The sequence below is a fragment of the Homo sapiens genome, chromosome 9, assembly GCF_000001405.40.
Source record: "Homo sapiens chromosome 9, GRCh38.p14 Primary Assembly".
In the NCBI taxonomy this organism is placed as follows: Eukaryota; Metazoa; Chordata; class Mammalia; order Primates; family Hominidae; genus Homo; species Homo sapiens.
The window spans coordinates 75,908,438-75,925,765 of record NC_000009.12 but is presented as its reverse complement, the minus strand read 5'-3'; the positions used below and the strand labels follow the sequence as shown (position 1 = coordinate 75,925,765).

Sequence of the window (17,328 nt, the reverse complement as noted above, 5' to 3'; positions counted from 1 at the left end):
GGAGGAGGCCACGATTGCTTTCCTTACTCACCAAGAGCATTCCCAATCTTGGGGCCCTTGCACCTCCTTCCTTCTGCCTGAAATGCTCCTCCAGAAATCTCCAGGACTCACACTTCCTCACTTCTCAAAGGCCACCTTCTTAGGGAGGCTTTCTGTGACCACCCAATTTAAAATTACTGTTGCCCCTCTGGCATACCCCATACCCTGATTTATTTTTCTCCATAACACTTACATGACCCATTTATTGTCGGTCTTTCCCCACTAGAATGTTAGCCCCATAAGGGCAGATTTTTGTTTTATTCACTGCTGGATTAGTCTCACCTCCTATTAACAGTGCCAGGCACACTCAATAAACGAGTAGAATAAAGCAATGAATGAATAGCCCCTGGCATTGAGGAACTCGAAATAACAGTGGGCATGTCTCTAAACCTTAGTGAAAGTTTCCTGCTCATTCTTTTATAGCCCTTTTTGGGTAAATCACTGACATATAATGTAACATAGGCTCTATGCTTAGTAAATACATGGGGAATGAATAAAAATATATCTGAAATTAAGAATGTATCACCAATAACCACATAATCATCAAAGTCTGTCTATATTTCTCAGTCCCCTCCCTCATCCCATCACAGTTAATGATTTCTTCAAATCACTGAACAAAAATCATACTTATAACAAGGCTATTGAATTAATTTTAAAATAGTAAGTCAAAAGTCAAGGAAATGCAGCAATCTGATGAACTGCTAATATTTATGGAGTACAAGCCAGCCATTACTTCACTGCCGCCTCACAACAGTATTAGCAGGTTATCATTATCCCTAGTCTACACATGAGAAAGCAGAGGCTCACAGAGTGTAAGAACCTGCCCGGGGCCACACAGTTAAAGGATGAAGCTAAGGTTGATGGTGGGCAGCCTAATTCCAGAGCATATGCTCCTAACTACTCTAAAAGATGTTCGAAATATAAAGTTTCTAAGGATGAACTTAAAACTACAGCTACCCAGAGATCTCAACCGCTGTCCAGAAAGCTGTATTTCTAAGAGTTGTACAGAGAGGGGATATTTTCTAGGAATATTTCCATCTACTTTGAGCAGATGCAAAAAGAGAATTGCCAAGTATCTCCAAGAGTAAGAGAGAGCTCATTCCTTTTCTCTGGGAGTGGGGGGCGGGGGCAAGAATCCTGGCCTTCATACCTGGTTATACCGCTAACCCCAGAGAACTTACATTAGTGTTTCCATGCCGGCAATAAAGTATCTTTAAGGTATACCTTCACCTCAAAGTGTCCAAGCCAGGATTTGAAACCATGTCAGCCTGACTCCAAAACAAGCACAACATCCTGACACCTAGATTCGTAAATGCTATTGCATCAGGCAGTAGAATGCCACACAATGACAAAAAAGCTATTTTTTTTTAGACTTTAGTTTCAAGTCAATCATTCAGAGTATCCTTGATTCCTTCCTAAATTCCTTCAGGTTCAGACTCAGCTTTGAGCTCTTCAGAGAATGGCATTAGAGGGCATGAACTCAGAGCAAAATCACTACAGTATAGATATTTTTAAATCAGGGTGCTCAAGGAAAGATGTATAATCTCTATGATTTCAGATATCTAATCTCTATGAAATGCAGGTATGTGGTCGGCTGATTAGTGCTCCCCACCAAATGTCTACACCCTAACCTCCAGAACCTATGAATATGTTACCTTTATGGCAAAAGAGACTTTGCAGGTGTGATTAAGTTAAGGATCTTGAAATGGGGTTTAATATCATCACAAGGGTCCTTATAAAGAAAAGAGGAAGCAGCAATTAGAGAAAGAGATGTGATAACCAAAGGAGAAGTCAGAAAGAAAGAGATGGAAACAGAGATTGGAGAAAGATTTGAAAATGCTATGCTGCTGGCTCCGAAGATGGTAGAAGGGTCCACAAGCCAAGGAATGCAGATAGCCTCTAGAAGCTGGAAAAAGCAAGGAAACAAAGTCTCCTCCAGAATCTCCTGAAGGAGCACAGCTCTGCCAGTATCTCAATTTTAGGTTAGGAATTCTGGCCTCTAGAATTGCAAGTTAATAAATTTGCATTGTTTTAAGACATTAACTGTGTAGTAATTTGTTACAGCAGCAATAGGAACCTAACACAAGGTAGAACTAGTACCTCAGGAGACACCCAAAAGAAAAGGAAATTAAACTAGAAAGACTATTTGAATTTGGTTCCTTTTTATTCTTCATAATTTTCAGGAATCCTTGGGTATTTGGTTATCAGCTTCCAAATAGTTATACCAATATAGCTATAGCAATATAGGTACTCTGCTAAGCACTTTTTTTCACATGATCTTGATCTTAATTCTCAAAACAAACTGAAGCCCAAAATGAAGGAATCTGCCTAGAAAAATAGAACTAGTAAATGACTTATCTATTCAAAGCCACTGTGTAATTGACATGACTACTAATAAACATTCCCACTTCCTGAATGCTTTCCCTACGTTACGTCTAATCTTCCCAACAACCCTCCAAAGGAAGGAGAATTACTCTAATTTTATGGACAAGGAAACTGACTCTAAACCTAAAAGAAGTTAAGTAATATGCCCAAGTAAAGAAGTATCCAAGCCAGGATTTGAAACCAGGTCAGCCTGATTCCAAAAATCTATGCTTTTTCCAGGCACAACACCTTGATTTTATTTAAAACTTACTCAAAGGGTTTTGTAGAGCCACATTCAATTCTATGGGTACACTAACATAGTATCCCCACCCTGTCTCACCTCCTCGCCCTCACTAATATAAGGCCTCATTAGTTTATTCTAAAGCCACCTGAATAGAGTACAGAAGAATTTAAGTCCTCGTAGTTTACCTTACTAGCAGGTAATCAAAAACATCTGATTACGAATCCTGAGCGGGTAAGAAACAGATGCAACACTTTCACCAAGGAAACTTAAGACACAGCAAGTTGAATAAGCACCAGATTTTCCCAGGTTCAAGTGAAAATCTGATGGTCTGCCCAACTATTCACAAGGGACATGAGATTTGCCTCAAAGCAAATCATAGAATCTCAGAGTTGGAAAACATCTTCATAAGATTTTAATCTGCCCTTCCCCACTGGATGCAGAAATCCTTCCTTCCAATTGGCTAGGGTGCTGCATTTTCTGGGCAGCCCATTTGTTAAAAAGTTCTTCCCAGTAATTAGCCTAGGTCCACTGACTACTCAAGGCAACAACCCAATGGCATCATCCCTCTTCTACATGGCAGACAGCCAACACATCCCTACTGGGTCTTCCCTGTTTCTGGCCAAACCTCCAAGTTTCTCCATTTTTTTCTCATGTAACAAGCTTTTGCAGGTTACTTCCCCTAGACAAGCCATCTGTAACGTCTCCCCAGAAATCCTGGAGCCTAGAACACAACACATCTCAACTCCAGGTAAGGTGGAGTTGGGATAGAGTCCATGATACCATGACCTCCCTTGGCAATGTACTTCTAATAAAGTAGCTTAAAATCAGAATACTTTAGCAGAATAATCCTTGGGAACTCTTTTTAACTTGGTTCTCCTCCAGTCTGTACTTTAATTTTTAAAATGTATATGTAAATGACAGAAATCTATATTTCTGTTGAATGCTGAATTTCATTTTTGTACCCTACTAATGCTTTTACAGACTATCAGACATTCATCTATTAACTGAGTGTGTACTATGTGCCGAGCAATGATCCAAAGACACTGCAGACAGAGTGAACAAAACACAGTCCCTGTTGACATGAGGATAATGTCCTGACTTGATTCTGCCAACCCCTTGGTGTCAACTGTGAGTTTGAAACCTATGTCCTCTATTGAATTAGAACATTTCTCCCAAGAGTACTCAAATAAATTTTCATATCAGCACACTACAGATAAGGACTGGGTTCAACATTCAACTTACAGTATGTTTATAACAGTTATTTAAGAATGACCTGGAAATGACATTACGCTTTTATTTTCTTCAATCCATTTTTGTCCAAAATGAGTAATTATATCCTTAATATAAAATAACCCATGTACTCTAGTCCTCAGATAAGAGCATTTATTACTGCTATTTATAGTCAGCCATTCTTATGAAAAGTTCTTCAAAACCCATCTGTAAGTAATTTCTGGAGAGACTTACAGAGATTATTGTTTAATATTTAAGCTATCCCACCTGTTTTTAAGACACACATTTCCCATACACACACACACATACACACACACACACAAACGAAATAGAGAGCCCAAGAGAGGCTGAGAGAAAGAACACATGTCTGAAAATGGGGTCTTCACTCTTTTCTGCACCATCATCTCGGGAACCGGAAGCATTGCCACATAGATGGAAACAAACAGAAAATAGTACATATTTTTATAGGTGAAAACATTGCTAGAATTACTGCCTAGAACAGTATATGTTCGCTTTCGGTCCAGTCATGCTCAATGTTGTCTATGCATTAGAATTATACGGGGACTTTAAAAAGTACTAATGCCGAAGGACCAATCCCCTGACCCCTGCACACCTGCCCCAGAGATTCTGATTCTGACTTAAGGGTCTGAGATAAGGCCAGGGCATCGGTACTTTTCTTTTTGAAAACATCTAGGTGATTCTAATATGCAGCCAAAGTGAAGAACTACTGTTCTAATTCATCCATTTCATTCGGCAGAAACAGAAACATTTACCCTGAATCCTGCAATCTCCATTTAAATATTCCTATCTAGTTAATTAAAATAAGCTTAAATGAAAAAAATCTCTAACAACTTTTTTATTTTAAAACTAATGTTAACTGGCATGTTTCATTCTTTTATGCCTTCCATTAATGATTCCAAAAACTCTCCCCTCAAAAAAAATTTTAGAAAATATGTATTTGAATGTGTATGGTATAATCAGATTCAGAATTGCCAGTATTTTTTCATACTGGTAAACAGAGGCTATTTTGAGCTCTATAGCATTTTTTTATTTGTTTTTTTATTTTATTTTTTAATTTTTTTGGAGGCAGAGTCTTACTCTGTCACCCAGGCTATAGTGCAGTGGTGCAATCTCGGCTCTCTGCAACCTCCGCTTTCCAGGTTCAAGTGATTCTTGTGCCTCAGCCTCCAGAGTAACTGGGATTACAGGTGTGTGCCACCATGCCACAACTAGTTTTTGTATTTTTAGTAGAGACAGGGTTTTGTCATGTTGCCCAGGCTGGTCTCGAACTCCTGAGCTCAGGCAATCCTCCCAGCTTGGCCTCCCAAAGTGCTGGGACTACAAGCATGACCCATACCACCCAGCCTTGAGCTTTATAGCATTTAAAATAACCCATTTTATTCTTAAAGGAGAATATTTGGAGTAGAGAAGATGTGAGCATTAAATTAAAAGTATGTGATAGATTCTAGCACTTTGGGAGGCCGAGGCAGGAGGATCGCTTGAGCCCAGGAGTTTGAGGCTGCATTGAGCTCTGATCACCACAGCACTCCAGCCTGGGTGATAGAGACCCCCACCTCTTAAAAAACAAACCAAAGCAAAAAACATGTGATAGAGACTAGCTTGGGACAGCTTATGACCCTGTCACTCTGAGTTTTAAAACCCTATTAGGAGGAGAAGCTCCCCCTATATCTTTGCTAATGGTTGTTCAGTTCAGAGATGTTTCTTTTTTTTGAGACGGAGTCTCACTCTGTCTCTCAGGCTGGAGTGCAGTGGTTTACTGCAACCTTTGCCTCCCGCATTCAAGTGATTCTCCTCCCCCAGCCTCCCAAGTAGTTGGGATTACAGGCATGTGCCACCATACCCAGCTAATTTTTGTATTTTTTGGTAGAGACGAGGTTTCACCAGGTTGGCCAGGTTGGTCTCGAACTCATGACCTCAGGTGATCCACCCACCTCGGCTTCCCAAAGTGCTGGGATTACAGACGTGAGCCACCACACCCAGCCCAGAGATGCTTTTTGTTCACTTGTTCCCATCTGGGTCCTTCTAAGGACTGGTAGAGTTAGCACCTGTACCATGGCGACCACAAAAGTGGGCCCAGACTAGGGGAAGAGCAGCAGCATCTGTGGATAATGGCAGAGGGTGAGGCTTCTAACCAGATGTAAGGATGGGTCCTATTTTTATAGTTCCTAAGGTTCAGCCACTGTTGGCAGCTATTGGCTTGTTGTATTAATTAAAGACATCACAGAAAAACACCTATCAAATCAGATAAAAATAAAAGGAAAAAATGGCAATATCAAATGATGCTGAGGATGTGGGGTAAGTGGAACACTCATACATTGTTGGGAATACTTGGAAAACAGTTTGGCAGTTTCACATAAAATTACTCACTTAACATACAACCCAGAAATCCTACTCCTAAGTATATTCCTCAAGAAAAATTAAAACTTAACGTTCACTCAAAAACTTGTACATGACTGTTAGAGCAGCTTTAGTCAATCACCAAAAACTGGAAACAACCCAATGCCCTACAGCTGGTGGAAAGATAAACTGGTACATCCATACAATGTCATACTGCTCATCAATAAAAAGGAGCAAACTACTGATTAATTAATCAAGGATGAATCTCAGATGCATTACAACAAAGGAAAAAGCAAAACTCAGAGGGCTGCCTATTGTATTATTCCATTTATATGACCTTCTGGAAAGGCAAGGTACACCAGAACACACATTAGCAGCTGCCAAGGGTGAGAGGTGAGAGGTGAGGCAAAAGGCTGACCACATAGCAGCACTAAGGAATTTTCCGAGGCAAAGGAATTTTTCTGTTTCTTATGGTGGTGGCTACACAACCATACGCATTTGTCAAAACGTACAGAACTGTACAGTGAATTTCACTGCATGCAAATGATACCTCAATAAACCTGATTTTTTTTAACTCTACAGAGAAAAGCCCTGTCATCAAGAGAGCTAGTTGGAAAGGTAATGCAAAAGGAAAGGCAAAACATTAAGAAGTTATTTGTTTAGATTAAAATATATGATCAAATTGATGTTATTCAATTAAAGAACTTTCCTAAAGTCATAGCAACCACATCAACATTTGGAATTATACAGTGCAAAAAGCAACCTTGAGAATCATTTGCAATATGTAAAGCTTTCCTTTTATGAAATAAATGAAATATTTCAGCATTTCTAGTAAAGTGCTGCTTTCCACTAACATGACCATCTTCGTCACAACAAAATACAAACGATTATGCTACATGATGGAGTCATTTGGAACTACTGTAAACTGAAAAAAAATGGCTGGTAATTTTGAAACAAAGATGAGAAGGTGTATATAGTTTGATGTCTCCTAAGTGCTATCAGCCATACCACACCTAATATAAATGTCTTGAAATAAGTAATAAAAATCTATAAATCAGTGGCTCTCAAAGTGTGGCCCTGGGGCCAGAAGCACTGGACCAGCAGCATTGGCATCAATGAGCCTGGCAGAAATGCACGTTAATGAGCCCCACCTTAACTGAATCAGAATCTAGTCATCACCTGCTCAGCCAGCTCAATCCAAGAGGTGAGAAGGAGGTCACCAAGAGTGTTGATGAAGCAACATTCAACAAAGGGTGCAAGCACATTATCGTCTATCCTGACCTGTGCAGTCAAGATGAAGCACAAATATACCCTGCATATACCCAACCAATCTATATTAATTTGTATTCTTTTATAACGCTAAGGGCCCAATCTATGTTTAGAATAAAATGGGATTTCAAGAAGAGTTTTATCCAAACTCAACTCCAGAAGATAATGAAAAACATTAATAATGTTCACAGTATTAGAAGAAGTATAGTTACCTATGAGAAACTATCTTGAGGAAAACTCAGTTCACCTCATAACCAGTAAAATTTCAGAACTAAAAATTCCCAGGTGACATGCATACTAATAATTGTAACTATTAAAAATTAAAAGTTTGTCTTCCCATAACCATTAAGTCCTGCCATATTTTACTTTAGGTTAATGCTCTTCTTAGCTTCTACTTCCTAAATAGAAGGACCAATAATAATTTCTAAATTTTTCTTCCTCTTTTCAAGTAAAATGTTTAGGTATCTCAACAGATATCTTAGTAGAAAAATGTTATTCTTATCAGGCTTAACAGGAGTTCATCAAACACAAGCAAGATGAATAAAGTAATCCCAAATATCTTTACAATTATATCAGCAGATATGTGCAATGTGTAAAGCAAGGTTTTATTTGCATTAAATTATCAGTGTCTCCTCTTGGGGTTCTGTTTTACTGATACTATCTGCTCATGATATCCACGGACTATAAATCTTGATTCTGCATAAATGAACCATCTACTCTTTGAGCTGCCTCGGGGCAAATATTGAATCTGATGTTAGCTCCCAGGTGACACACGGTTCTTCAGCAGATGCATGCTCAAAGCAACAAAAATTTAAATATCAGTCTAATTAAAATATTACCAAGATAGATTTGCTACCTCTCACCTTCATACACACTTGTTCCCAAAACACATAAAAATGCAAAGTGTTCTGGATTATCTGTGTGTTTCAGCATCATACGTGATTGCCCACTTCAACAGTTTTACAACCTTGTAAACAGGATAAATAACTCATCAGGCCATGTGTCTTTGTCTTACTGTCTTATCCTATGTAACACCAATATTAACTGCTTATATTCATATGCTTTTCCCATCTTTTTTTTTTTTTTTTTTTCTGAGACGGAGTCTCTCTTCGTTGCCCAGGATGGCATGCAGTGGCACAATCTTGGCTCACTGCAACCTCCACTTCCCAGGTTCAAGTGATTCTCCTGCCTCAGCCCCCTGAGTAGCTGGGATTACAGGCACGTGCCACCATGCCCAGCTAATTTTTGTATTTTTAGTACAGACAGGGTTTCACCATGTTGGTCAGGCTGGTCTCGAACTCCTGACCTTGTGATCTACCCGCCTTGGCCTCCCAAAGTGCTGGGATTACAGGCGTGAGCCACCTCGCCTGGCCCTGCTTTTCCCATCTTTAAAGAGCTTTCCCTTACTTTGTTTTATGCAAGGTAATATCACCCCTTTGGGAAACTTCTCAATTACTTCCTGTTACTTTTAAATTAAGATAAAAAATGCCTTTATTTGACCCAAGGGCCTATCATATCTGGCTCCCATTTACCTGTCTAACATCATCCCCTAACACCTCTCCCTAACCCTCACTCACTACGCACCAACCCACTGGCCTTCCTTCCAGCCTCAGAACCCTCGCACTTGCTGCCCCATCTGCCTGGAATTCTCTTTTTTTCAATCTCTTGCCTCTTACTTCCTTCTCGTTTTTTGGATCTTAGCTCAAATATCACTTCTTCCGAAGTCAAAGTCTTCTTTGACCTCTCTGCTAAATTGCCTTCCCCAGTTACTTTCTATCTGGTCAAGCTGTTTATTTCCTTACTCACTTTAAAAACACCGCTATATTGCCAGCACCTATCACAGTGGGTGGGATAGAGTGGTTGCCCAGTAAACATTTACAGAATGAATAAGTTATAATCTCCATTTTTGAAATAATAACACTGAGGCACCGCTAAATTCAGTAATTTACCCAAGTTTATACTAATAGCAAGAGAAAGAAACAAGATTTTTCCGACACCAAGCTCAGTGCTATTTTCACCATACTATATTAAACCTAAATAGGCTAAATGCTAAAGTACATATTCGTTCTTGGAGTCATATTTTCAATTTTTATTAAAGTTTAAACCCTGACCTGATTAACTTTAAGATTAATATCTTTATCTCGACAATTCCTGAGCCTGGCTTTAAAGTGCCAAGCTTTTAATTTTCTTTCTTAACATAAAAAGTCCACTGACCTTTATCTCAGCAGCTTGCTTAGTCTTAAATATATGTCAAATAAGCCCAAAGAAGAGTTTAAATAACCATTATGCCTACCAAGTAAATGTTTGTATCCACAAAATAGAAAGTTAGAAGTGATATTTAAGAATATGTAACTTCCCGCACTAGATTGAGTTTTAAGTATCTCACTTCCATCATTCCTAAGTACTTACTGTTGATGTAAAAGATAAACTCAATACAGTGTTTTACCAAAAGAATCACTGCAACATTTCTAGATTTTTGTAGTTACTCAAGACTTATACTTATCTGGACCATTCCTCATATCTGCATAAATGAAGAAAGTGCATTTAATATATATTAAGCTTTAATCAGAGGCTTCTACACCACTAAAAATTAATCCATGAATTACTTTAATATTCCAAACACTGGATATTGCCTGTTTTATTTGCATTGTTCAAATACACGCAGGTAATTTAGTGAAAGAACAGGGCTTCATAAGTTTTCCTCCTTCTTAGTTCTAACATGCCAACGGTCTGTCACTAAGTTGTGAAATAGGTTTAAAGCCTCAAGAAATTAAAGTGATAAAGACCAAGAGTGGGGAATGGTTCCCACAGCCCACAAGCACTTTCTCCTATTTCAAATGTATCATGTTAATTTTGATTCTTAACAGTGACTGCATTAGATATGCAGCTATGTCTCTATTCTCTTGATTTGGTTACTGTATAAGTTCTACAGACCCATAAACAGAACAGGCTGCTCAACATGATGGATGCAGCAACTTACTCCTCATCACACAATTGCACAAACCATATAATACAGTCAGGATCAGCCAAGGAAAGCCAAGGTTAGCTTGCCAGCCCTGAGCACTGCAGTCATGGGTAAAGGCATCCCCATTATAACACGGTCAGATTCCTACTTGGAAAAGTCATCACTATGCATGCCTCCCCAAAATGAGCCTTCTAACTTCCCCTAGGAAAGAGTTCTGTGGTTCCAACGGACAAAACAAGATGGGCATGCTTTAGCCGTTCAATCAATCATTTACCTTATTCCTAAACAGTCACCAAGGTAGAACTGTAAACTATTCCTCACACCTTTTACCGTATCAAAGTGTGGAATATTTATCATTTCTTATCAAGGCAGCTTAATGAAAGGGGTGTAAAAGCCAGATTTTCACAGAAGTAGGGGAAAAAATACTACCTCTAAAACTGAATTATTTGCTTATATGCCATATACCTACACATGCTAACTCCCTTGACCAATTTTCCTCACACATATATCTCCTAAAGAAACACAGGCCCTGATAAATATAAAAATTATTAGCAAGAATTATTAAAGAAATATATACATCCTACTGAGGATCCTGAGAAATAGAAAAGTTTAATGAAGCAACTCTCAGGAGCTGCTTTCATAATAGAACTTGAAGATACTGGAACTCAGGTCTGCTAAATACCAGTTCAGTGTTCTTGCCCTACTGAAAGGGGACTTCGTTTTTTCATTTTTACAATGAGGGGGCCAGGTGACATTCTTGCTCCCAACTCTAAAACCCAATGGTCATTGGGTTTTAGGTCATTGGGTCATCTAAAACTACCTAAAGGTCATTTATATTTTAGGAGACTAGTATTAGGGCTCCTCTAAAGCCATGGACTGTTGGAAGTAGCATTTCTTTCAAGACAAATAAATTACCATTAATTTAAACACACTCTTCCTAATAGTAAGTAACAACCAAATCTGACGTGGTGCTGTGGGGGCAAAAGGCAGTGCCTTAATGGAACAATGGATGCAACAAGATTCAAGCAATAAATTTTATGGAACTTCGTCATACTCTCACATCTCAGAGCCCTTTATGATAACACTCAAGTAAATCTATCTGGTTGAGTTAATAATTGGTTTAAATCTGTTACAAGTTAATGATGCACAGCCAAGCCATTCCAGGTACATGATGATACAGCGAATTTGTGACACGATTTGTAGATAACATTTTGCACTGCCTTTCATTTTTCTTTATTTCCTCCAATGATTAGAAAACTACAAATCATTTAAGAACAAACTGGACCTATAAATAAGACCTGTATACATACAGGCTGGATTAAAAGAGGAGAAAAAAGCATTATCTTCAGGAATAACATAGGGTTTCAGAAGGGCCTTGCAAAGTTTGAGATAGATCCCAGGCTACTTCTATATACATAATTTGGCATTCCTTTTTTTAATAATACAGTAGGAATTACTGTATTACTGCATTGGGTTCCTACTGTATTACAAAAAAAAAGGAATGCCAAAATCTGTAACTTATTTCAGTATTTACATGTAACCTCCAAATACAACTATGCTATTCACCAGATAGTTCTGGAATGCACAATGTGTATTAGCTCCTAGTGTACTAGAAGCAATGAGATGTGGTAATGAGACATGAGATGAAAGTTTTCAAATGGACACTATATTCCAATCCAGCCAGGGCACAAAACTATATCTAAAAACTCATTGGAAGGTATCTCATAAATATGCAGCCTGGAGCCAAATGATCTTCTAGCCCATGTTCCCAGTATCCCCTGGGTAAGACCCTGAAGTTTACTTAGAGATTTGTTGTGTGGATGGGGCCTCTACAGAATCAATTACATTTAAAAAGCACAAATACGTGACACTAAATATCAACAAATATTTAAATACTCATATATGTGTGGCTATGTAAAGATCATCCCCTACCTCAAGTGCAAATGACTGTAATTAAGCAAAATCTGACTACCGACGCATCAAAATGCAATAGGGTTGAAAATAAGCTAATGATTCAGGTACTTTGATGGTAATGAAAAGAGAAAAGACTGAGACAAGAGTGGAGCGAGAGTGGACTCCTCTGGGAAAGAGAAGCTCTGAGCTCTGTGGGAACAGCCAGCAGCATACCAGGTGCTGAGGAAGAATGTGCCCAGTCATTGTTCTGAATCCTGGCTGCTTATTTAAGAACCCACCCAAACCCAATCAACTGGGCTCTCTGAAGGTGTCTTTAAAGGCTTCTAGTTGTTTGAAACAAGTAGTCAGGATTGACAGCCACCTGAGTCAGGGAGCTGAGGATCAGAGAAAGAAAAGGTTAAGTAAGAAGAGTTCCAAAAAATCAGGATTTGAGCGACTGCAAGGAGACAGAGCAGGTTCATTCTAGAAAGGATCTGGTATGAGAGTGGGATGGGGAGGTGTCCAGAGCTAGGTCCCTTTGTCATTTACAAAAAGAGCAGAGGAAAATAGCTTTCTGTAGAGGAAACGATATTCAGATGACTGAAACTACGGCAAGCTGAACAGACAATGTTCTCCACACTACAGACTAGAGTCATTCTTTATGCTATGTGTATGTATGTACACATTCTCAACAATTACCTTCTGTTATCATGTAGTAGAGAATGGGTCACATGTCTGCTCAAAGCTGTCTAATGGCTTCTCTCCTCACTTAGTACTGACTGTGCATGCAAGTCTGCAAAGACCTATAGGCTTCCTCCTCAAAGCATTGTTTCAGGACCACAAGCAGCAGTAGCAGCGGTAACAACTGAGAGCTTGTTAGAAATGCTGAATCTCCAGCCCCATCTCAGATCTACTAAACCAGAATCCACATTTTAACAGGATCCCCAGGTGCACATGAAAGTGTGAAAAGCACCAACCTTCAAGATTTAACCCATCTCTCCGACCCACTCCCATTGCCTCTCCAGCCCATCTTCTACCACTCTCTTGCTCACTCAGAATCACCGGGCTTCTTGCCATGCCTCCAACATAGTAGGGTTCTCTCCTGTCCACGGCCTTTGCACTGGCTGTTCCCTCAACCAGAACGTGCTTCCTCCAGGCATCTTTAAGGCTCATTTCTTTCCCTCACCTTCTTCACAAATTTGCTCATGCCACCTTCTCCACGAAGACTTCCTAAGCCTGTTTACAATCGAAAAAAAAATTTCCAGTCTCTGTTCCCCTCTTCCCTGCTTTTTTGTTGTTCTTTTTTCTTCTTCTCCTTTTCTCCTTTCCTGTTCTCTATCCATAGCACTTACCACTATCTGACTTACCTTTTGTTTCTTATTCATTTGATTATTAGAAATCTCCTTTGATAGACTGCAAAATACGACCACAAATTCTATGCAACTCCTTCTATCAAGAGATGAAATATATATCTCTACCTCTTGAAGCTAGGCTTGGTCATATGACTTGGTTTGACCTATGGGATATTAAGACAAAGGGAGAAATTGGAAAAGCACTTTGCACATTGAGACTACTCTCTCAAGCTGCTGGGATACCTTCCTGTCACTTGGGAAGATACCTAGCCTGCTGAATAATGAGACACAATGGCCAGGTCCCCCACCACTCTCCATAACCCAAGCCAGCACCAGCAACCAGCACCAACCACCAGATATGTGAGTGAAGCCATCCTAGACCAGCCAGGCCCAGGTGACCCAGCAGTCAACTCAAGAACCTACCAGTCAACTCATAGCTTCAGAAGCAATAATGACTGTGGTGTTAAACCACTGAGTTTCGGGTGATTTATTTCTAAGCAAGTTGGCACACTCTTCTGATGAGCACATAAGTTCCAAGAACGAAGGGATCATTATGCACTGCTGCATCTTCAGGGCTTAGCACAGTGCTCAGCATAGTGTGGGCACTGTAAAATATTTGCAATGAATGTTGAAGGACAGAACGATGGCAAAGGGAAAACTCACAAGTGAAAGAAATGAATAAATGCCAGCCATGACTTCCACAGGTGAGAGACTACAAAGTGGGAGAAAGACTTGCTGGGTTCACTATAACCTTTGCCTTTTCAGAATTAGGTTGAACAAAATAAGATTTTAACTACTTTGGCAATAGAATAGCTTAGCAAAAAAAAAAAAAAAAAAAAAAAAAAAAAAACCTATATGTTCACACGCAATGTATCAATTATTTCAAAATAGTTCTTGTTTCATGATGCCTAACTTGCCTAAGACTTTACAACCAGGTGACCTTTAGAATATTTTTCACATTACACAGCCTTTACTCTCCCTGTTTTTAAGCTATTCAGATTTTTAACAGATCGCAAATCGGCAAACCAAATCACTGCATGTTGCTTCAATTCTGTCTTGCCAAAGAAGAAAAATCTGCTGCTTTGGATTCATTTCAACAGTTGGAAATTCAGACCATCACATTTTAAATCTCAGATGTTCCCCACTGTGTCCACATCACATAAATCAGTGAGTGAACCGATACCCACATGTTTGTGAAGCCAGTTCTCTCACAACTAAAGCATAATGTCCTTTGGAATGGAGAGGCAAATTTAAGTGGATTCTGCAGCAGTGGGTGTCATAATTCTGGAAGCACAATGTGGCCCTCAGCGAAGGCACAAGCAAGTGCTATTGGCAAGCAGAAAGAGAGTTCTCTATTAAACAATTTTTTGAAGTACAAAATTAACATGCTATTTTCATCTGATGGGGAAAAATAAAAGACAACCTGCAACACATTAAGTTTCTGTCTTCATGGAAAGAGAAAAAAAAAAAAGAACTCTGTATTTTCTAACGAAGCTTACCAGTGATTAACAGGTCTATCTGAACTCATAGAATAAGTTTCATGCAAAGAACCGGCAAGGTCAATAAATAATGTGAGGACAAAGAAGCAACTCTGAGAGCAATTAAGCTCTAGGACCTTTAGGGTTTCTTTCAGGAAATGCAAATCTCCAAACAACAGAATCACATACACACATTGGAAATAACTAATAAGTGGCTTCTGATTTTTTTCTTGGATATACATAATTACCAATTGAATAATCAGCAAAATGTATGCTGGAGTTCACTAGGGTCTTCCTATTACATCACGGGGTTCTTATCCAGAGTATCACAATCTTTTTCTCTCCTTTCACCACATATCTTAGTCTACACTGCACACAAGGCTAAGGAGAAAACTATTGAGCTTGGCCTTTTGTGTTTATCGAGATGGACTAGGTTCCACTAGAGTGAACTGATCCCATGAGTCTCAGTGACTTAAAACAAAAAAGGTTTATTTCTAGCTCATGTTATATATCTATCGTGCACTGGGCTGGGAGTGCTGCTCATCGCATCTCTCAAGGACTCAGACTAATGAAGCATCCACCATCTGGAGCTCTGCCAATCACAGGGCAGATGCAGCTCACCACAAGTCACTCACTGGCTGTAAATGAAGGGACACGAGTCACTTCTGCTCACATTTCACTGGGCCACTGAAGTCACCTGGCCATGCTCAACACCAAATATAGGGAAATTCAATCTTATAACACAGCCAAGGGAGAGAACCAGAAACATTCAGTGGACAGTACTAACAACTGCTGCGGGCTTTATTTACTCCCTGCCTGTTTTTGCCCACTTCCATTTATCCATTTTAGAAAATCTTTCTGAGGGCATTTTTTTTCTTGAGACGGAGTCTTGCTCTTGTTACCCAGGCTGAAGTGCAATGGCACGATCTCAGCTCACCGCAACCTCTGCCTCCCAGGTTCAAGCAATTCTCCTGCCTCAGCCTCCCAAGTAGCTGGAATTACAGGCACCCACCACCACACCTGGATAATTTTGTATTTTTAGTACAGATTGAGTTTCTCCATTTTGGTCAGGCTGGTCTAGAACTCCTGACCTCAGGTGATTCGCCCGCCTCGGCCTCCCAAAGTGCTGGGATTACAGGCGTGAGCTACCGCACCCAGCTCTGAGGGCATTTTAACTACAGAAAACTCTTCCAGGTGCCAACTGGGTCACAAAGGTGAACCACACAGAAATCCTATCTTTTTTTTTTTGAGATGGAGTCTCACTCTGTCACCCAGGCTGGAGTGCAGTGGCGCGATCTTGGCTCATTGCAACCTCTGCATCCCGGGTTCCAGAAATTCTCCTGCCTCAGCCTCCCAGAGTAACTGACACTACAGGTGTGCATCACCACACCTGGCTAATTTTTGTATTTTTAGTAGAGAAAGGGTTTCGCCATGTTGGCCAGGCTGGTCTCAAACTCCTAACCTCAGGTGATCCGCCCACCTCGGCCTACCAAAGTGCTGGTATTACAGGCATGAGCCACTGCACCCGGCCCAGAAATCCTATGTTTAGGGGGATTATTATCTAGCAGAGGAGAGAAAATCGGATAGATAGATAGATAGATAGATAGATAGATAGATAGATAGATAGATAGACAGAGAGAGAGATAGAGAGATAGATAGATAGATAGATAGATAGATAGATAGATAGATAGATAGATAAATAGAAAGAGAAGGATGCATGGATGGCGGATGGATGGATAGATAGATAGATAGATAGATGGCATGTAAGATGAAAATGCCAAGTGCCAATAAAAAGAAGCATACAAGGTTCAATGAGAGTTTAAACGAAGGAGGTTTTAGCCATAGGAAGTTTCATTTGAGGAAATGACATCTGAGAAAGGCTTTGTAGAACATAGTGAGATCTGGGCATGTGGATGTCCCGGCAGTGAGAATGACATGAGTAGAGGCAGAAAAGCAGGACATGCCAGTTCATGTGCACAGAATGGCAAAATAGTTAGGTTGAATGATGTTGAGAACATTAAAGAAGGAAGAGGAGGAAAGAGAAGAAAAAGGGAGAGGAAGAAGCAATTCTTTTTGACCAGAGGAAAGGGGGAGGCAGTGGGGACAGGGTAAGACTTGCACAATAATCCACATAAG

General features: G+C 39.8%; 1 protein-coding gene across 8 annotated transcripts in view, besides 1 other annotated feature; it reads right to left on the bottom strand.

The window, feature by feature from the left end:
• PCSK5 (proprotein convertase subtilisin/kexin type 5) overlaps nt 1-17,328 on the bottom strand; it is a 473,167-nt gene that overhangs the window by 437,210 nt on the left and 18,629 nt on the right. The gene's annotated exons all lie outside the window — the stretch shown is intronic.
• Nucleotides 6,621-7,820: an enhancer, noted in NCBI's record as "CDK7 strongly-dependent group 2 enhancer chr9:78532862-78534061 (GRCh37/hg19 assembly coordinates)". NCBI's record gives its function as "activates an origin of replication core promoter dependent on BRD2, BRD4, P300/CBP, MED14 and CDK7 cofactors, with strong dependence on CDK7, by STARR-seq in HCT116 cells {active_cell/tissue: HCT116}" and the evidence as "EXISTENCE:reporter gene assay evidence [ECO:0000049][PMID:35650434]".